The 22298-nt window shown below is 36.6% G+C and overlaps 1 long non-coding RNA gene across 1 annotated transcript in view; it reads right to left on the bottom strand.

The window, feature by feature from the left end:
* The window catches only part of LOC107985670 (uncharacterized), a 68935-nt gene that overhangs the window by 32564 nt on the left and 14073 nt on the right, over positions 1-22298 (bottom strand). Inside the window, exon 2 of the long non-coding RNA XR_001755900.2 lies at positions 13961-14046. This is a non-coding gene — a long non-coding RNA (uncharacterized LOC107985670). The remainder of the gene's footprint in view (positions 1-13960; positions 14047-22298) is intronic.

Here is a 22298-nt window from a genome sequence, read left to right as displayed (position 1 = left end):
ATTATGCTGCCATAAGAAACAATGAGATCATTTCCTTTGCAGCAACATGGATGGAGCTGGAGGCCATTATCCTTAGTGAGCTAACACAGGAAAATCAAATACTGCAGGTTCTCACTTATAAGTGGGAGCTAAACTTTGCATACATGTGGACACAAAGAAGGAAACAACAGATACTGGGGCCTACTTAAGGGTGGAGTTGGGGGAGAGAGAGAGGATTGAAAACTGCCTATCGAGTACTGTACTTATTACCTGGGTGACAAAATAATCTGTACACCAAACCTCCATGGCACATAATTTATCTATATAACAAACTTGCACATCTAGCCCTAAACCTAAAATAAAGGTTAAAAATATAAATTGAGTTTCAAGCAAGGAACAAGGCAGGTTCCACATGTGGGTTTTCTGCCGCTATTTCACTGCACTTTTGTTGAGAGAGCAGAAAAGCTTCTCTCCTGTCTCAAGATTCAGCTTCTACCCCTTCTGTTGTATTTTCCTCCTTCTTACTTAAATTATAGTGATTCATAAATATTTCACTGTAAAGGGGCTGAATGATTAAACATATCAGCTTCATCAGTATCAAAGGCCTTGTAATAATACCCCAAATAGCTCAAATTTAATGAGCATTGTATAATGCTTTATGTGTATTTGTTTCGTTTAATCCTACAAAACCCTTATAAGGAAGGCATTGTTATTATCTTCCCATTTGGCAGATGAAGATATCAAGTCACAAAATGGATAAGTAACAGTAAAACTAGCTGAGCCAGGACTGAACCTAGACAATCTGGCTCCAGAACCTGCATTTGTAATCACGAAGATATACCATGCTTCAAAATAGAAAATTATATCAGCATTAGAATGTATAATAAAAATCACCCGCTCTCTTCCCTCTCTTATCTCCAAATCGGGAGGATTCAGCTGAAATGCTGCCTCCTGCACTCAGTCCCAGCAAGAAGTCATTATTTCCTTTTCTAATTTTCCATTGCCCCATTTATAGACCTCTCTAAAGGCACTTTTCACTTTCAACCTAGAGTATAGGACTGCATGAAAACAAAGGCCAAGATGTCATATATCTGCTCTATTTATTTTCTACCTCAGCCACAATTAGCACATTGCCTTGAATATTATGGTTGTTCATTAAATTCCTGTTAAGTGAATTTATTGGATAAAATGGGATAACATATAAATTGATCAATGGCAGTTATCTCTCTCTAGACCATATGATTTTTTCATTCCTTACAATGTCATGCACAAGTAGAAACTTAGTATTTTTTGAAACTGTTGAAAAGTCTCTAAATTCCTATACTCAAATGAACACTAGCTCAGAAGTGGAAAAGCATACTGACTACTCTGTAAAATTGATCTGAAGGCCACCTCCATGTAGAGTCAACACTAAGCAGGGGTAGGAATCATGAAGCAATGAAATCTAGAAGTATATTCTTCATGTTAATATTTTCCCTATCTCCCAAATCTGTTAAAATTTCAATAATAACAATAATATCAGCAAATATAATTTTAACAGTTACCATGCATTTAATACCTTCTCTTTTTCAAACACTTACAATCCATCATCTTATTTAATCCTTATTGCAACTCTGTGAGGTATTTTTATTTCCAATTTACAGATAAGGACAACCAGGCTCAGGGGTTTAAATGACTGACAATGTCACCCAGCTCGTAACTGGCAGACCTGGGATTCAAACCAAGGTCTCTTTGATTCTAAAGCCTGGGCCCTTTCTACTTCATCTAATATATCACTAAACAGACTCATGAGGCTTTTTATTCTCTTCTCTAACCTACTACCCAAATACAGATTTTGTAGATGCAGCATCAAATTTTATCTTTTTTTTTAATTTGGAGACAGCATGGTTGTACATAAGATCTCAGACACAGGACCAGGCAGACCTGAGTTTGAATACAAGCTCCATCACTAATGAGCCATATATCATTGGACAAGTGTATTAGTCTGTTCTCACACTGCTATAAAAAAAGACCTGAAACTGAGTAATTTATACAGAAAAGAGTTTTAATTGGCTCATGGTTCCTCAGGCTGTACAGGAGGCATGGTTGGGGAGGCCTCAGAAAACTTTCAGTCATGGTGAAAGGGGAAGCTGGCATGTCTTACATAGTCACAGCAGGAGAAAGAGAGAGAAGGGGAAGGTGCTACACACTTTTAAACAACCAGATCTCATGAGAACTCACTCACTCTCATGAGAACAACAAGGGGTAAATCCACGCATACCCGTGATTCAATCACCTCCCACCAGGCCTCTCCTCTAACATTGTGGATTACAATTTGACATGAGATTTAGGCTGGAACACAAATCCAAACCATATCAACAAGTTACTTATCCTCTCTGAGTCTCAATTTTCTCATCTGTTAAAGGGGATTAAAACTAGTACCTCACTGGGCTATTGTGAGGAAAAATGAGACAATGCATATAAAGACCTCAGAAATAATAATTACTCAGCAAAGGTTACTAATCTTTGCTATTGCAAAAATAGCCTTGCCTATTTGTCATAATTATACCACATATTGATAATCTGTCAACTTTTTTGATATGGAGGAGATAAAAGAACACTGGTAACTGTTGACTCTTTCAAGCCAAGGATGAAAGTAAAGATAATCAACTCTGGTGAATGGTAAAATGGAGACATCATTGCAGCACTATTCACAATAGCAAAAACATAGGAGTTGAGCACAGTGGCTCATGCCTATAATCCCAGCACTTTGAGAGGCTGGGTTGGGAGGATTTCTTGAGCCCAGAAATTTGAGATCAGCCTGGGCAACTAATTGAGGCCCTGTCTCTCTATTTAAAAAAGTAAACAGTAAAACAGCATGAAATTGACCTAAATGCCCATCAGTGGTAGACTGGGTAAAGAAAATGTGGTACACATACATAGAATACTATGCAGCCATAAAAAAGAATAAAATGATGTGCCTTGCAGCAACATGGATGAAGCTGGAGGACATTATCCTAAAGAAACTAACACAGGAACAGAAAATGAAAGACCGCGTGTTTTCACTTATAAGTGGGAGCTAAACATTGAGCATATACAGACACAAAGAAGGGATCAACAGACACTGGGGCTTACTTGAGGGTGGAGGGTGAGGATGAAAATACTACCTATCAGTACTATGTTTATTCCCTGGGTGACAAAATTATCTGTGCACCAAACCCCCATAACATATAATTTATCTATAAAACAAACCTGCACATGTACCCCTGAACCTAAAAGTTAAAAAAAGAAATCATTATGTCAAGAAGATACCTTTGTGTGTATGTTCATCACAGCACTGTTCACAATAGCCCAGATGTGGAATCAATCTAAATGTCCATCAATAAATGAATGGATAAAGAAAATAGTTTATGCACACAATGGAATACTATTCAGCCTTTAAAAAGCATAAAATAATGTTTTTTGTAGCAACATGAATGGAACTGGAGGCCATTATCTTACTTGAAACTCCGGATTCTTAGAAGATTAGCATAAGTATCAAATAAGTTGGGTTCTAGTCCTGGCTCTCCAACTTACTAGCTGGGTTATTTTGTTAAACTCTTTAACCTTTCTGTGCCACAGACTCCTTCAACTAAAATATTCTTTCTAATTTAAAATGTTATGGGGTAAATAATATGCTACACTTAAATAGAATTTCTAATTTATAAAATGTATTTCCGTTTTCTCTCATTTGTTCCTTATAACATCCCTGGGGGATGCTCGGGAGGTGTTTCTACTCTGTTTGAACAAATCAGAAAACTATGGCCCAGAAAAATTACAGGATTTGCTTAAGGTTGAATGTTCTTTCCACCACACCATGTTGAATTTAAAACTGAGGCTTTATGGTCAGTTTAATAATCTACTTTTTAAAATCCAGACATCCATGCTAACATCCGTGGAAGGAAACCAAATTCAACATGGCATGTTTTCATTTACCATTAGCAAAAAAAATGATGAATCTTCATGGACAAATTTGGGCATGCCTTTATGAGTACAAATTTCTGAATCTAGTTGAAATGTCCCACCCAAACCACATAGTCTCAGCCTGTTATCTCATTGCACAAATAAAGACTTGAATAAAAGGAGGTTAAAAACCTAAATGAAAGCAAAAATATGAGGTTAATCCTGTTGCTTAAGACCTAGCCAGAAATCAATAGTAGGTCTAGTATTAGGGAGTTGCAGTCTAAATCCCACGTGTTTGACAAAATCCACCATTTTACTTCCAACCTACGTCAAGGCACTTGGCTACAGGGAGTTCTTTCAGTTTTATAATTGCAGTAGCTTTTAATCATGATAACAAGTTAAAGTATAAGGAGGCTCATTATTCTGCTTATAAGATAATCCTACTTTATTTTACTATATTGAGAACTCAGGGTAAAATATGGTGATAACTATGAGCAAAGGCAAAGAAAAGCACTATCCAAAGTTATCTGTTGTCCATTGAACAGCTAACTCAATTCATTTTCTTCCAAAATCAGCAGCAGAGCATTTTTGCTCTCCTATAACTATTGAAAATCATAGTTTCTATCAAAACTGAACCAATAGAAGGACATGGTGTTTCTCCAACTGTTTAATTTCACAAGGAGTACTTAGTATGCTGCAAATTTTTCCCTTTGAGGGTCAATGCAAACTTGTTCTCCTTTTGCTTCCTCTGAATATTGAAAAGTGAGCTCCAATGCTATAAAATTTTTCTTGAGTTCATATTGTTGTGACAGGAGGGTGCATTTTCACAGAAGAGGAAATACATTCTCTAAGGAAAAACGAAAATGAATTTCTCCTTAAAGAAGAAACAAACAAGATCTGGGCATGTCATCAATTGATGACAACGACATCTCTCTGGAAATACCTTGTTAACATTCTATTAAAATCATAGGCAACTCCCAAGATTCTAAACAGTTTCTGAATCTTTAGATAGTGTGATTTTTGTGAAAACTTTTCCATCAAAATCAAAAAACAACTGAAATTTATTCTCCAATGTTCTTTCATCTTCCCTCATTAATATATTTCTCTAACATCTCACATTTAGTTTGCACCTTTTTTGGAAGTGTCAAGAATGGGAAAGAGCTTTTAGAAAAGAAGAGAGATAAAATTCACAGACATACTCAAATCACTCCAGTTCTGGGAATGCCTCAGATAATGAATCTCACACCTTGATATGTGTCAAATGTAATACAAAAATGGCTTCAAATAAGGGGTATCTTTGGCTGATTGGCATTGTAGGCTTCATAAATATTTTTGCTTTCATAAGTATAGAAGAAAGTTCAAAGATCTAAATTCTGAACTAATTTAGATTTGTAAGTCTTTGAAGTTCCATAGCAAAAGCTATAGATATAGATATGATAAAAATTGATATTCATTTCATTGACAAACCTAACTCCCTCATTCATAAGAAATGAGATCGTTTTAAGCTGTAACTCAATCCCAGACAAATCTGCCATTCACTTGCAAAGCCCATCATTGGCTTTTTGCAATCCCCATTCACATGGTTCCATTTATGCTATTTTGTTGTTGGTGGTGGTGGTGGTGTACTGTGTTTGCTTGTTTTTTTTTTTCTATGTGATCCTCTTCAGAGTTTTTTTTTATTATTTTATTTATTTATTTATTTATTTATTTATTATTATTATTTTTTTTAACGGAGTCTCACTCTGCCACCCAGGCTGGAGTGTAGTGGCTGTATCTCGGCTCACTGCAAGCTCTGCCTCCCGGGTTCACGCCATTCTCCTGCCTCAGCCTCCCAAGTAGCTGGGATTTCAGGTGCCTGCCACAAGGCCCGGCTAATTTTTTGTATTTTTAGTAGAGACGGGGTTTCACCGTGTTAGCCAGGATGATCTCGATCTCCTGACCTCATGATCCGTCTTCCTCGGCCTCCCAAAGTGCTGGGATTACAGGCGTGAGCCACCATGCCGGGCCTAGAGTTTTCTTAAAGTGCATAAAACAGAAAGAAAGATATTTGAGCATAGGAGATTTTTATTATTTTTTATTTTTAAAATTTGTTTGTTTTGGATTCAGGGAGTACATGTGCAAGTTTGTTACATGAGTATATTGCATGATGCTCAGGTTTGGGCTTCAATTGAACCTGTCACCCAAATACTGAATATAGTAACTAACAAGTAGTTTTTCAACCCTTGCTCCCCTCCCTCACTCCCCCCTTTTAGAGTCCTGAGTGTCTCTTGTTCCAATGTTTATGTCTGTATGTACCCAATGTTTAGCTCCCACTTATCAATGATAACATGCAGTATTTGGTTTTATGTTTCTGCTATAATTTGCTTAAGGTAATTTTCTCCAGCTTCCATGTTGCTGCAAAAGACATTATTTCATTCTTTTTATGGCTGCATAGTACTCCATGGTGTATATGTGCTGCATTTTCTTTATCCAATCCAGTATTGACAGACACCTAGGCTGACTCCAATTCTTTGCTATTGTGAATAGCACTGCAATAAACATGCAAATGCAGGTGTCTTTTTGGTATAATGATTTATTTTCCTTCGGGTATATGCCCAGTAATCGAATAGTTGGGTCAAGTAGTAATTTTACTTTCTGTTCACAAAGGAGATTTTATTACAGATCAAATAAAAAGTTATCTTCATAAAGAATGAATATTAATTTATCTTAAGAACTTGAAAATTCAAACTCTTTTAAGTGCTAGATGATCACAAGTTTTCTATTTGACTCTAACCATTTCTTAAGTATAATGTCCTTGGGGCTTAAGTACTTTCAAAGTTGCTGGAATCATTATGCTTTCTGTAAATTGTTTATTCATATTTTTGTGAAATATTCAATATAGCTTTGCTATAACTACCATAGTCTTCTACTATGTCTTAATTTTAATTAATGAAATATTTTTGCAGTACTAACAGAGAGATGTGTTTTCATATATAATTCTCCTCCATAACTACACAGGGATTTTCCTCTGAATTCGTTCTTATGAAAGATAACTTAACTTCATTTGCTTGAAAAGCTTTGTAATATTTTTATTGCTAAAGAAAGAGCAGCTCTGAGCATTGTTTGGCTTTAAAGAATGAAAATGGTCTGGCACAGTGGCTCATGCCTGTAATCTCAACACTTTGGGAGGCCAAGATTGGGGAATTGCTTGAGGCCAAGAGTTCAAGACCAGCCCTGGCAACACAGTGAGGCCCTATTTCTACAAAAGAAAAAGTTCAGCCAGTCGTGGTGGTGTTATCTTACAGTCCCAGCTACTCAGGAGGCTGAGGTGGGAGAATTGTTTGAGCCTAGGAATTCGAGGATGCAGTGAGCTATGATTGTACCACTACACTCCAGCCTGGGTGACAGAGCGAGACCCTGTCTCAAAAATAAATAAATAAGAATGAATGAATAAAAGAAATCTTAAAAATCATTGAGTCCAACCTTCTTATTGCACTCATGATGGAAGTGAGGCCTAAAGAAGAGAAAGTATTTGCACATATGGGAGGCTAAAGAACTATGAATGTTTAAGAATGTTTTCATGAATGAACAAATGGATCAATTAATTGATTGGTGGATGATGGATGGATAGATGAGTGATGAATGGGTGCATAAACTGGGGGACCAATAAATATATATATATAGATAGATAGATAGATATAGATAGATAGATAGATAGATAGATAGATATATTTAGGTATATTTTTTTAAATAATAGTATTTGCAAAATGATCTAGAAGAGAAACTGTAAGTTTTCAACCTAGGCAGAACTGGGTTTGAATTTCAACTCTGCCACCTGATAGCTTTGTGGCCTTCAGAATGTTAGTTAACTTGCTGAGTTCCATTTTTTTAATCTGAAAAATGGGGATAATGAAGCAATGATGAAATTGAATAAGATATCTGTATAAAGTATCTAGCAAGTGCATCCTACACAGTAGGTGTTCAGTAAGTGTTTGACTCTATCCTTTTCTGTGACTCTTGCATTTTAATTTATAGCTTATGGAAATGCCAATGTTATTTCATAGAAATACCATGGAACTTCTTTACCATAGGTGACTCTAATCCAATGTTTCTCAAAGTGTGGTCCCTCAGACCAACAGCATCAGGAACACCTGAGAACTTTTAGATTTGCAAATTCTTAGGTACCATACTACACATACAGAGTCAGAATCTCTGGAGCTGGAGCCCATACATTTCTCTTTTATTAAATCCTTCAGGTTATTCTGATACATATTGAAAACTACTAATCTATATAATTGATATCTCTAGAACTGCTCGGTTTTCTAGAGCTACATAAATGCATAAAGACTGTATGAGTTAGTTTTCACACTGCTATAAGGATACTACACAAGACTGGGTAATTTATAAAGGAAAATGGGACTCATAGTTCCACATGGCAGGGAGGCCTCAGGAAACTTACAATCATAGCAGAAGGGGAAGCAGGCACTTCTCACATGGCAGCAGGCAAGAGAAAGAGACAGAGAGAGAGAGAGAGAGAGAGAGAGAGAGAGAGAAAGAACACAACTTATAAAACCATCAGATCTCATGAGAGCTCACTCACTATTATGAGAACAGCATGGGGGAAACTGCCCTCATGATCCAATCACTTCCCACCGGCTCTTTCCTTCAACACATGGGGATTATGGGGATTACAATTTGAGATGAGATTTGGGTGGGGACACAGAGCCAAACCATATCAAAGACCTTTGATTGTTTTTTTTCCTGCGGTCTCTTCTAAGTTATGACATTACATGTACATGCCATATTATGTCAACCATGATCCAGGAGGTGACATTAATTGACCCTTGAGCTCCAGTGACAGCTTTCTAATTAAACATAAACTTCACCGTGTCCGTGCATTGTGAGAATGTCCTTGTTTTATAATGATAACTCTAAACAGTCTCAACAGTTTTTAGAGGAAGCCACTATATGTCTTTGTTAAAAACCAAAACCTTCATGTTTCTTTAAATCTTACTTTAAATTATGAATTATTCTTTATAATAGTAATTCAAGACTAGTGAATACTCATGCTGGTAATTCAGTGAAGAGTGTATTTTTGTTTGAGTTTATAAAGAGCAGAATTAAGCATGGGCAAACAAACTCTAGGTCCTTTGACATGATTAAAGAAAGTTTCGTAAGTTGACCCATACAACCTTACCCAAGAAACTGATCTGTGGACACAGTGCCTAAGAAGAAACAAACATTTTTTTGGAGATGAAACTGCTTTTGCAACTTAAACCTTTAGAGTGATAACAATACCATTATCTCCTTTGCCATTTCTTGACCCAGGAGCTGGAGAACCAAAGGGTTCATTGATCACTGTAAGAAAGATAGAAGAGATAGCTACTGAAAGGTTTTGAAGGATCAGCATAAAGTCCTTAGGCCAATTAAAAGTTAATCACCTGGACTTGAGCATTAGAGATTCAACTATACTGAAGTTTCAAACAATTTCAACTGTACTCTGAATATTATTATTTCAGCTGGGATAGCAAGCCAAAAGTAGCTTCCACAGACCAAGTCATTTGGGCCGTGAAGCTAAAACAACTGAAGTTCCATGTCAACAGTGAGAAGAAAATTCATTCTGCTTTTTTAATGCTATTTGCGTTATGCTTCTATCATGTTCCAGTCTAATATCTTCAAGAGCAAAAGGTAAAATTCTGCAAACTTTTCAAGGACTTTTTACCATGCATATAGCAGATGGCTGAGTTTTGAAGGAAGAAAATTGTAAAACTGGCATAGCAGGAGATGAGTAGGGAGAAAGGTGATGAGCAGACAGAAACTCCTTCATCTGGTCTCATCAGCAGCTCTCTCATCCCTCTGTCCCACAAACACATTTGACACTGGGTAGCGCTGATCCAATTCCTGGTACCTATATTGTAATGAAATTTTAAATTTCTGAATATATATAAATAAAGACTATAGTCAATTGAGTCAAGACTGTAGAATACTGTCAGAAGGCAGACTGTGTAGTTAGAAATGTATAATACACATAATTCATAGAAAATTATAGTACCTAAACAATTTTTTAAAAAAATATTGAGCATATCAAGCCCATGATGCCAACAAACATAATGTTGAAAATGGATAACATACGTATTTAAGCTTTAAAAGGGAGTCAATTTAAAGAAAAATGGTAAGCAATCAATAATAATGGTGAGGAGGTTATGGCATATATTAGAAAAGTAGTGAGAAAATAACTAAGATTTAAGCTTAAGGAAAACTATTAAAATCCAGGCCTTAAGCAAGCAGAATACACATACACCATCCCATGACTGAAACAGAAAGAAACTGAATCCCTGAACAGACCAATAACAAGTTCTGAAATTGAGGCAGTAACAAATAGCCTACCAACCAAAAAAAAAAAAAAGCCCAGGACCAGAGGGATTCACAGCTAATTCTACCAGATGTTCAAAGAAGACCTGGTACCATCTCTACAGAAACTATCCCAAAAATCAAAAAGGAGGGACTTCTCCCTAATTCACTTTCTGAGGCCAGACTCATCCTGATACAAAAACCTGACAGAGACACAACAATAAAAGAAAACTTTCAGCCAATATCCTGGACAAACATTCATGCAAAATCCTCAACAATACACTGGCAAACCAAATCCAGCAGCACATCAAAAAGCTAATCCATCACGATTGAGTAGGTCTGATCCCCAGAATGCAAGGTTGTTTCAACAGAAACAAATCAATAAATGTGATTCATGAAATAAACAGAACTAAACAAAAAAAACCATATGATTATCTCAGTAGATGCAGAAAAGACTTTTGAAAAAATATTCAACATTCCTTCAGTTTAAAAGTTCTCAATAAATATTGAAGGAACATACCTCAAAATAATTACAACCATATATGAGAAGCCAACAGGCAACATCATACTGAATAGCTGAATAGCTGGAAGCATTTCTCTTGAATATAGGCACAAGACAAAAGTGCCCTTTCTCACCACTCCTATTCAACATAGTATTGGAAGTTCTGGCTGGGAAAATCAGACAAAACAAACAAAGGACATTCAAATAGGAAAACAGAAAGTCAAACTATCCTTGTTTGCAAAAGACATGATCCTATACCTAGAAAACCTGATAGTCTCAGCCCAAAAGCTTCTTAAACTGATAAATAACTTCAGAAAAGTCTCAGGATACAAAATCAATGTGCAAAAGTCACTAGCATTTCTATATATAAAAAACAGTCAAGCCAAAAGCCAAACCAGGAACATTGTGCAAATTATTTCATCATCCAGGTTTTAAGCCTTGTACCCATTAGTCATTTTTCCTGAACCTCTCCCTCCTCCAAACCTCCATCCTCAGAAAGGCCCCAGTGTGTGTTGTTCTCCTTTATGCATCCATGTGTTCTCATCATTTAGCTCCTACTCATAAGTGAGAACATGTGGTATTTGGTTTTCTGTTCCTGTGTTAGTTTGATAAGGATAATGGTCTCCAGCTCCATCCATGTCCCTGCAAAAGACATGATCTCGTTCTTTTTTGTGGCTGCATAGTATTCCATAGTGTATATGTACCACATTTTCTTTATACAGTCTATCGTTGATGGACATTTAGGTTGATTCCATGTCATTGCTATTGTAAATCATGCTGTAATGAACATACATGTGCATGTGTCTTTACAGTGGAATGATTTATATTCCTTTGGTTACATACCCAGTAATGGAATTGCTGATTCAAATGGTATTTCTGTCTTTTGGTCTTTTAAGAAATCACCACACTGTCTTCCACAATGGCTGAACTAGTTTACACTCCCACCAACAGTGCATAAGCATTCCCTTTTCTCTACAACCTTGCCAGCATCTGTTATTTTCTTACTTTTTAATAGTAGCCATTCTGACTGGTCTTAGGTGATATCTCAGTGTGGTTTCAATTTGTTTTTCTCTAATGATCAGGGATGTTGAGATTTTTCATGTGATTGTTGGCCTCATGTATGTCTTCTTTTGAAAAGTGTCTGTTCATGTCCATTGCCTACTTTATTATGGGGTTTTTTTTTTCTTGTAAATTGGTTTAAATTCCTTATAGATGCTGGACATTAGACTTTTGTGGGATGCATAGTTCGCAAATATTTTCTCCCATTCTGTAGGCTATTTACTCTGTTGATAGCATCTTTGGCTGTGCAGAAGCTCTTTAGTTTAATTAGATTCCATTTATCAATTTTTTCTTTTGTTGCAATTGCTTTTGGTGTCTCTGTTATGAAATCTTCGTCTGTTCATGTATCCTGAATAGTAATGTCTGTGTTGTCTTCCAGGATTTTTATAGTTTTTGGTTTTACATTTAAGTCTTGAATACATCTTGAGTTAATTTTTGTGTGTGATGTAAGGAAGGGGTCCAGCTTCAATCTTCTGGATATGGCTAGTGAGTTATTTCAGCACCATTTATTGAATATGAATTCCTTTCCCCATTGCTTGTTTTTTTTTCAGTTTGTTAAAGATCAAATAGTTGTAGGCGTGCACTCTTATTTCTGGGTTATCCATTGTGTCCCATTGGTTTATATGTCTATTCTTGTACCAGTACCATGCTGTTTTGATTACTGTAGCCCTGTAGTATAGGTTGAAGTTGGGTAGCATCATGCCTCCAGCTTTGTTCTTTTTGCTTAGGGTTGCCTTGTCTATTCAGACTCTTTGTTGATTCCATATCAATTTTAAAATAGTTTTTTTTCTTGTTTTGTGAAGAATGTCAATGGTAGTTTAATGGGAATAGCATTGAATCCATAAATTGCTTCGGGTAGTATGACTATTTTAACAATATTGATTCTTTCTATCTGTGAGCATTGAATGTGTTTCAATTTGTTTGTGTCATTTCTGATTTCTTTGAGCAGTGGTTTGTAGTTCTCCTTGTGAGACCTTTAACCTCCCTGGTTAGGTGTATTTCTACGTATTTTATTCTTTTTGTGGCAATTGTGAATAGGATTATAAGTATAAGAATGCTTATACACTGTTGGTGGGAGTGTAAACTAGTTCAGCCATTGTGGAAGACAGTGTGGTGATTTCTTAAAAGACCAAAAGACAGAAATACCATTTGAATCAGCAATTCCATTACTGGGTATGTAACCAAAGGAATATAAATCATTCCACTGTAAAGACACATGCACATGTATGGGTATGTAACCAAAGGAATATAAATCATTCCACTGTAAAGACACATGCACATGTATGTTCATTACAGCATGATTTACAATAGCAATGACATGGAATCAACCTAAATGTCCATCAACGATGATAGACTGTATAAAGAAAATGTGGTACATATACACTATGGAATACTATGCAGCCACAAAAAAGAACGAGATCATGTCTTTTGCAGGGACATGGATGGAGCTGGAGACCATTATCCTTATCAAACTAACACAGGAACAGAAAACCAAATACCACATGTTCTCACTTATGAGTAGGAGCTAAATGATGAGAACACATGGATGCATAAAGGAGAACAACACACACTGGGGCCTTTCTGAGGATGGAGGTTTGGAGGAGGGAGAGGTTCAGGAAAAATGATTAATGGGTACAAGGCTTAAAACCTGGATGATGAAATAATTTGTACAACAAGCCCCCTTGACGCAAATGTACCTATGTTCCAAACCTGCACTTGCTCCCCTTAACTTAAAATAAAAGTTAAAAAAAGAATAGAGCAGCATATATATTTCTAACCTAAACTCATCAAAATTTTATAGTAAATAATGAAATATTGGTTATATTTAGACCGTACTTAATGAATCAGTTTTTGAGCTGTGAGGGACCCTAATAATCAAATTGGCAAATGATCTTAATTTGAAGCAAACACTGTACTTTATTTGAGAGAGAGAATTTGAATTTGTATCAGTTTCTAAACATACTTCCTTTTAGTAAGTTCAAATGTTTTATTTAATTTGATGAGGGTCTCTTTTTATTGTCCTAGGTTTTAAGTTACGACTAGATGCCTAGTTAATCTGTGACTCAGACCAAAATATATTTTATCTCTGTCTTTCTCAGAAAGCCAGAAATATCCAAAGTGAACTTACGCAATGCGGTTGTATTCACTCACACAAATAATTAATGTTACCTGTAGAAGTTTGCAGAGCAAGGACTCTAAGCATAAGTCTTCCTCCAGTTTTCCTGCAGACTACCTTTTCTTGGATATGTGTTTCACTGGAGAGAAAAAAGGTGAAAGAGAAAAGTGTTTTTTAATCAGTTTTTTTTTGAATTAAAAGGTTCCAAATAGAACCCAAGGTATTGTTACATGTTTGAGTCTGTCTTGCCATAATGAAACAATATACCAAGGGGAGTTTGCATTTGGCCTGCTCATCTTGCTAAGGCACTGACTTAGAAGTCTAATTATAAAGATTTATTGTCAGTACCAATAGCATTAACTATGACCCCACTGATTCTCCAGCCAAACCGATAAAGAATATATACATATCACCCACATTCCAAAGTATGTATGGATTTTCATCCACCAAGGAGACACTAGCTGTAATACATTGCACACATGCCAGACTGTAGTATTGGGACAGAAATAGGTGGTCACAGAAGAGTGCCAGGATGATGAGGGGTAGTCTAAATCTTATCACATGAGAAACAGTTAAAAGCTATTTCACCTGAAGACGAAGAAGACTTAAGGAGAATATCAGTGCAATTTGTATAAATTTGAAGGGCGATTTGTACTGAAAAATTAGAACTTATTTTGTATGGCTGAAAGAGCAGGATAAAGACTAAGGAGAAAATTTTCATAAGGCAGACTTGAAGTCAACATAAGGAAGAACTCTCTGGCAATAGTAAAATGAGCTGTCTGAGTAAATGTTAAGTTCTCTTTTCCTGGAGAGACTTGAGTCTAGATTGGATGAGTGTTTGTCAGGGATGTTAGAGAGAATGTTAGTGTGAGAGTGGGTTAGATAACCCTTACAGCTTCCCAAAGTCGTTCACTCATTCATTCACTCTTTACACAGATATTTACTAAGCCCCTACTAAGTTCCAGGCACCATTGTAAGCACTAAAGACACAGTGGAGAGTAAGGCTTTTTTTTTTTTTGGTCTAATGAGGTAACATTCTATGAATTCAAACAAATAAATATTTCGTGTAATGTCTGATAGTGAAATTGTTAGAAAGAAAATAAGATCTGTGAATCACATGCTCCTCTGAAATGGAGATCTTTTGATTTAGAGACCAGCACTATGCCCATTAAACTTTTCTTTCCCCAAAGACTTCAGGCCTGGGCTTTGTCAGACCAAATTGGAAAAGAGAAACTAACACTGGTGATTCCCTTTAAAGCATATTACAGGATACTACAGGAGGCTGAATTAATAGTGGGAGATTCACAGTTAGCAAAAAAACATGTTTCTTGACTCCTAAACCAGTAAATTTCTCATTCTTCCTTCCAGAAAAGCATGGCTTTAGTAACCAAAATGTAGACAAGGAAAGCAATATATGCTAGTTAATGCTCTTCAATCACCATTATAAATTATTGTTTCATAGACATTGTGTGGAACTAAGAACAAAACAATTGAGGCATACCTGAGCACGCAGCTGAATGCTACTGTCATATCAACCATAGACAAAATTGTTAAGTAAGCAGCTTTTTGTTTTCTTTGGTGCAGAGATAAGAAAAGGTATCTTTGCCAGTCTTTTCATGTCATACCAACAGCTCTCTTATGTGACAGGTCTCTACATTCATTTTTCACATATCTACCTTAGAAACCATGTTCCAGGTTAGTGAAGGTCCACTATGAAGACAGGGGTAGCAAAATTGCAACCTACAAAATTGGATATAATACAATCAGATATATCTGTACTTGTGACAAGTCTGTACCTGTGATGGCCACCCACCTACCCTGATGCTCAGACAAGATAGAGGTGCTTGAAATGTGAAAATGCAAACAAATGAGAGGACTTTCTCAGGGAGATAAATTATACCAACAGCAAACTGTAAAATGAATTAGAAACAGCCACCCTGCTCTGGCCTAATCAGCAAAAAAGTAAAGCAGAGCCTAAGACCCCTGGTCATCCCCACTCCCCTGGGTATTGGGTCAAAATGAAACATCACTTGATGCAGAAAACAAAACCAAGTCTAGTCAAGTCTAGAGAAGCATTGCTAAAACATGCGATGGAGGGGAGCAGGGGATGGGTAGTAAAACAGATAGATGAATGTTCACAAAGACAAACAAACAAATACAAATGGCAATTTAAAAAGATAATAGTAAATTTTCCAATTCTGATTGAGATAGAGGAATAGGGGCCACATAGAGAGTATTGTCCTGCCTGCCAAACTCTTTGTAAGCATGTAAATCACCCTGAGAACAAGACATTTACAAGTGATGATTTCAGAGGAGGGAAAAGACTGGCCAAGACAAGACAAGGGCTCTTGTCTCCAAGGTGTGCAAGTTGTTTTCAACTCCTAGTTCCTGAGCACTTAGCCAGGGCAACAGTTGCTCACTGTTGACTCCATATTGGTATAGGACAGAAAGCTGGCCTGGGTCCAGGCATTTGACAGAGTCTTTGGTGGTTACTCTCTACAGGGCTGGTCTTCAATTGTGCAATAAGCAAAATGTGATCATCTTTCCTCTCCCCTTCCTTGTTTCCTGTTCAAAGGCCTTTTATCCCTCCTAGTGATTCCTACCTGTTAATCCAGTGCTTTCCCACTGAAGTGCCAGTGACTTCATAGAATGCCCCATCCAGGCACCTGTCTTCAAGGACTTGATGTAAGAGGCTGTATCAATTTCCTAGGGATGCCATAACAAATTACCACAAAATATGTAGCTTCAAAAACAGAAATGTATTCTCTCAAAGTTCTGGAAGCTGAAAGAGTACAATCAAAGTGTCAGCAGGACCATGTTCCCTCTGAAAGCTCTAGGAAAGAATTTTTTTCCCTCTTCTAGCTTCTCATGGCTCCTGGAATTTCTTGGCTTGTCAATGCATCACTCTAATCTCTGCCTTCATCTTCACATGGGCATCTTCTCTGTGTGTGTCTCTTTGTCTTCACATGATCTTCCTATAAGGATACCAGTCTTTGAACTTAGGGCCCATCTTAATCCGGTATGGCCTTATCTTAACTAATTATATCTTCAAAGACCCTATTCCAAGTAAAGTCACATTCTGAGGCTCCAGGTGGACATAAATTTCAAGAGGTCACTATTCAACCCCAGACAGAGACAATGTTTAATGCAAAAGAATATATTTCCTTAGTAAAAGAGAGATATTAAATATAAAATGGCAAATTTCAGACAGTGGAACTGAGGTGAAGGTGACAATTTAGGAGACAGGATAGACATCTGAAGACCCACAGATCCCTTCTAAAGTAGACACATATACCACCAGAGTTGATTTTATTTTTGAAAAAATTAGAATCAAACAAGTTTTAGTTATTCCATAAATGTTAGAATTTTGGAAATATTGAAATTACATTATTCATTTTCACTCCATCGTTAATGAACATTCTCTAATTACAGGGTTTTTCAAGGTACAAAATGCAGTGAAAAAGCTATTCTATGTTGTAACCTTAGAAACTGTCGTATTTTGTGCAGTCGGGCTTTAAAATATTTTGCAAACAGATCTCAAGCAGAACTCCAGTTGTAAAAAACCAACTCTTTTCAGGGGCAAAGTGAGGGGCACTGAAGGCATCAGAGAAATAGGTCCTGGATATATTAATAGACTTGGGTTCAAACTCTCCTATGTGAATTGCACATTGCATTTTGAGCAAGATACTTAAAAAGCAAACTCTGCTAAGTTATATAAGATATGCTGTTTCAGGGCTCTGACTCTACACATCTTTAATCAACAAGTAGGGATAACACTTTGCCCATAATGACTGTTTTTAGAAGGCAATGCATTGTCATGGAAATACCTGGTCTTTGAAGTTAAGTGGGGCTGTCTCTAAATCTGTATCCATCTTTTGCTAGTTTTATCACTGAGGTTAAGTTCCTTGATTGTCCCAAGCCTCATTTCACTTCCATGTATAATAGAAATAATGACACCTATCTCATGTGTTGTTCTGAGGAGCAAATAAGACGTTTGCTTACACTTCTCCAAAGGTATTCAAGAGGGTCCTGACAAGTGTCTTTGAGTCAGCTAGACCAGCCAACTTGTTAAAATACATACAATCTCAAGGCCCTACCTACAGAGATTTTGAATTAGTATGTCTTACCTTGGTCCTGGGAATTTGCTTTTAAGAAAATATCTCATATACCTAATGTAAATGATGAGTTAATGGGTGCAGCACACCAACATGGCACATGTATACATAAGTAAAAAAGCTGCATGTTGTGCACTTGAACCCTAGAACTTAAAGTATAATAAAAAAATTAAAAAAAGAAAATATCTCAGATTATTCTGATGCCACCCTTTGAGGACTAGCATTTGGAAACCCCTGGACACCATTGCTTTTTAAGCATCTTGCTCAAAATGCAATGTGCAATTCACATACAGTACAATGCACAAATCTTCAGTGACTTTTAAGATATGTGTATACCTATGTGACTGCCACTCAGATCAACATATAGATTATTTCCATCACCCACACTGAGAAAAGTTTCTTCTGCTCATTCCTCAGTCAATACTCCCTCATCCCCAGAGGTAACTACTCTTCTGACTTGCAGCACTATTGAGTGGATCTTCCTGTTCTTTTTTTTTTTTTCCAATTTCAGCTTTTATTTTATTTTATGCATGTGCTGTTTTGTTCCATCGAAGTAATACATGATGTTGAAGTTTGGAGTATGGATCCCATCACCAAAATAGTGATCATATACCCAACAGGTAGTTTTTCAACCCACACCTCCCGCCTTTCTTTCCCTCTACCCTCTATTAGTCTACAGTGTGTACTGTTCCTATTTCTATGTTCATGTGTGCTCAATGTTTAACTCCTACTTATAAGTGAGAACATGGGGTATTTGGTTTTCTGCTACTGCCTTAATTCACTTAGGATTATGGCCTCCAGCTAGCTCCATCCATGTTGTCACAAAGGACAGAATTCCATTCTTTTTATGGCTGCATAGTATTCCATGGTGTATATGAACAACATTTTCCTTATCCAATCTACCATTGATGGGCACGGGGTTGGTTACATGTCTCTGCTATTGTGAATAGCACAGCAATGAACATACAAGTCCATGTGTCTTTTTGGTATAATGATCTATTTTCCTTTGGGTACACCCAGTAATGAAATTGCTAGGTCAAATTGTAGCTCTGTTTTAAGTATTTGAGAAATTGCCAAACTGTTATCCACAGTGGCTAGACTAATTTACATTCTCATCAATTGTATATAAGTATTTCCTTTTCTCCATAGTCTCGCTAGCATCTGTTGCTTTTTGACTTTTTCATAATAGCCATTCTGCCAGGTGTGAGATGGTATCTCATTGTGGTTTTTATTTACATTTCCCTGATGGTCAGTGATGCTGAGCATTTTTTCATATGTGTGTAGGTAACTTGTATGTCTTCTTTTGAGAAGTGTGTGTTCATGTCCTTTGCCTGTTTTTAATGGGGTTATTTGTTTTGTGCTGGTTGATTTGCTTAAGTTCCCTATAGATTCCAGATATGCCTTTGTCAGATGCATAGTTTGTGAATATTTTCTCCAATTCTCTAGGTTCTCTGTTTATTCTGTTGATAATTTACTTGCTTTGAAGAAGCTCTTTAGTTTAATTAGGTTCTGCTTGTCTATTTTTGTTTTTGTTGCAATTGCTTTTCATTACTTAGCCAAAAATTATTTGCCAAGGCCAATGTCAAGAAGAGTATTTACTAGATTGTCTTCTAGGATTTTTATAGTTGGAGGTCATACATTTAAATATTTGATCTATTTTGAGTTAATTTTTGTATATGCTGAATATAAGGGTCTGACTTCAGTCTTCTGCATATTGCTAGCCAGTTATCCCAGCACCATTTATTAAATACAGAGTCCTTTCCCCATTGCTTGTTTTGTCAGGCTTTGACTGTTCTTGAACTTCAAATAATGATAACATTTACTCTTTTGTTTCTGGCTGCTTTCATTTGACATTATGTCTTAAAGGGTCATCTATGCAGTTATGTGTATCAGTAGCAACTACAGTAAGTTTTTACTACACATGGAAACATTAAATTTTCAAGCTAAAAGAGACTGTAAAAGTTATATATCAGGGATATTAGAGCTCCGGCTCAAATGTATACAAGGAACCAGGTAGAGAAAGCAAAAGAGTAAAGCAGGTAGTTTTAATGCAACTAGGGAGTGGTAGAACCATAGAAAACTAGAGTTGTTCCCCAGCTAAAGGAAGCAACCAGTATATACTAAGTTCTTGTTGGCTCTTGCTATGTGGGAACATGGGCATAGTATGGCCAGATTTCCCAGCTTTTCAAGAGAAATTGGGAGTATGGATTGTTTTGTGGAATCCCCTGATTTTTAATCAACTTTAAGATAAGTACAGACAGATCAAAACATATCTGCAGGCTACATCGAGCCCATGGGTGATCAGTTTGCAATCTCTGACTAATTTAATCTCTCCACTTTTAGAGACGCATATAAGACTCAGAAAGAAAGGGGCTTATCCATGGTCACACAGAAATTTGAGAGCAGAGTTGAAAGCGGCTTAGCTTAATAGCTTAGAACAGAGAATATGAAGACAGATTTCCTGAGATGAAGTCCCATCACTGCAATTTACCAGCTATGTGACCTCTTGGCACATTATTTAGCCTTTCTGGGCCTCGGTTTTTTTCATCCATGAAATGGAAGGGGAAATGCTTACCTTACAGTGTTGTTGAGAGAACTGAATGAATTAATATATGTAAAGAGCTTAGGATAGTACCTAGTGCAAAGTAAGTGCTATGGAAGTGTTAGCTTTGTTGTTGATGATGATAATGTTGTTATTCCCATAGATAATGCATGGGGACAGTAATATTATTTGTCATTTCTGAGGAGTTAATTTCTTCAGGAAAGATTGCCAATATATGATACTAGGACATTTCTAAATTGTCAGGCTTGATGTAAAAAGGGCATTTAAATGGTTCGTTAATGCAAATTCTACATTAATCAAAATATGTTCAAGTGATTGTCAGCTCAAAAATGAAATGCAAAACTGACAATAGAAGAAACATGTTCAAATCTGTGTCTCTAATATGTGAAAAATATACTTTCTTTTGTGGAAAGTTGGACTTTAGTTCAAGCCAAAAAGAATTTTTATTAAATCTTAAGACATTTTGTACAAACAGTTTGTCAGAGATACAGGTATTTTACTTGGTAACGTAAGAGCTGCAGGAAATACAAACAGTATAATTCTAATACAAATTTTTATTGTATAGTGCTTTGGAATTTTTAAAGTCTCTTTCACAAATATGAAAATCCTAGTTTGTTAGAAATAGAAAGCACTTAGGAGATCTCCCAACATCCCTCATTTTCTAGATGAGGAAACACACCCAGAGAGATTGCTACATGCCCAGAATCACACAGCTAGGCTGTGGCAGAACAAGAATTTGGCTCCTGTAACTAGTCAGAAAATACTAATACAGGAAATAATTAGGTACTAACTGAGAACTACATTCAATGTGGCTGCATTTGCAACATTAGCACAGAATAGATAGAGGGTGAGTGGTGGGCTAAAAATCTCTCAAAAGGTTGCTTGGAAGAGGCAGCTTCTGTGGTAGGCCTAGAAAAAAGGATCAAATTTCTAAAGGTCGAAAGCCAGTCAGAGGGCATAGCCATGTAAAAAAGGTAGGGTGAAAGCGCCATGTGGGTGGCACAATGTAGAGACTAACAAGACTAGTAGTGTATAGGTAAAAGTGAAAGGAAGCATTGCCAGAAAGGGAAGATAGGGCTGCATTCTAGAGGGTTTTGAATACCAAATAAATAAACCTGCACATGAGGCCACAGCCAGGTACTAAGGCTCCTATTTTCCATAAAAGAAATGTGTACTCGTATTTTTAAAATAATTCAACTGCTGCAGAAAAATGTAAATAAAAAGTAAAAGTCTCTTCAATCTCCACTACCCAGAGTCACCATGATTAACAGTTTCTGGTGAAACTTGCCAGAAAAGTCTCTAAGTAGTTCTTTTAAAATCACAATCTTTATTTTTTATACTGTTGTCTACTGCTGTGGCCCTGATGTAGCACAGTGACTGCATTGCATTATAAATGGGTTATACAAATGCTGAAAGCAAAAAGTGCCCATGAGTACTGCCTAGCCTGCTTAAAGAGAACTGGAAAAAAGAAATCACTAAGTTCTCTCTAAAAATTTAGAAAACCAAAATGCCTTTTCACTTTTTGACAAATAATTCATCAGTGTAATCCTTCCCTTTTGCACATGCTGATAGAGTCAGCTCTGCTGGCACCCATAAAGAACATACAAATGTCCCAGGAATCTGATGTGACTCCTCACTAATGATATTTTCTGCTTCAGTCTTTCAGCCAAGAAATAATCAGAAACTAAGAAGGGGCCTCTCTTTCTGTCAGGG

This window comes from Homo sapiens, chromosome X (genome assembly GCF_000001405.40).
Source record: "Homo sapiens chromosome X, GRCh38.p14 Primary Assembly".
NCBI classification, from domain to species: domain Eukaryota; kingdom Metazoa; phylum Chordata; class Mammalia; order Primates; family Hominidae; genus Homo; species Homo sapiens.
This window is presented reverse-complemented; position numbering and strand designations above follow the sequence as displayed.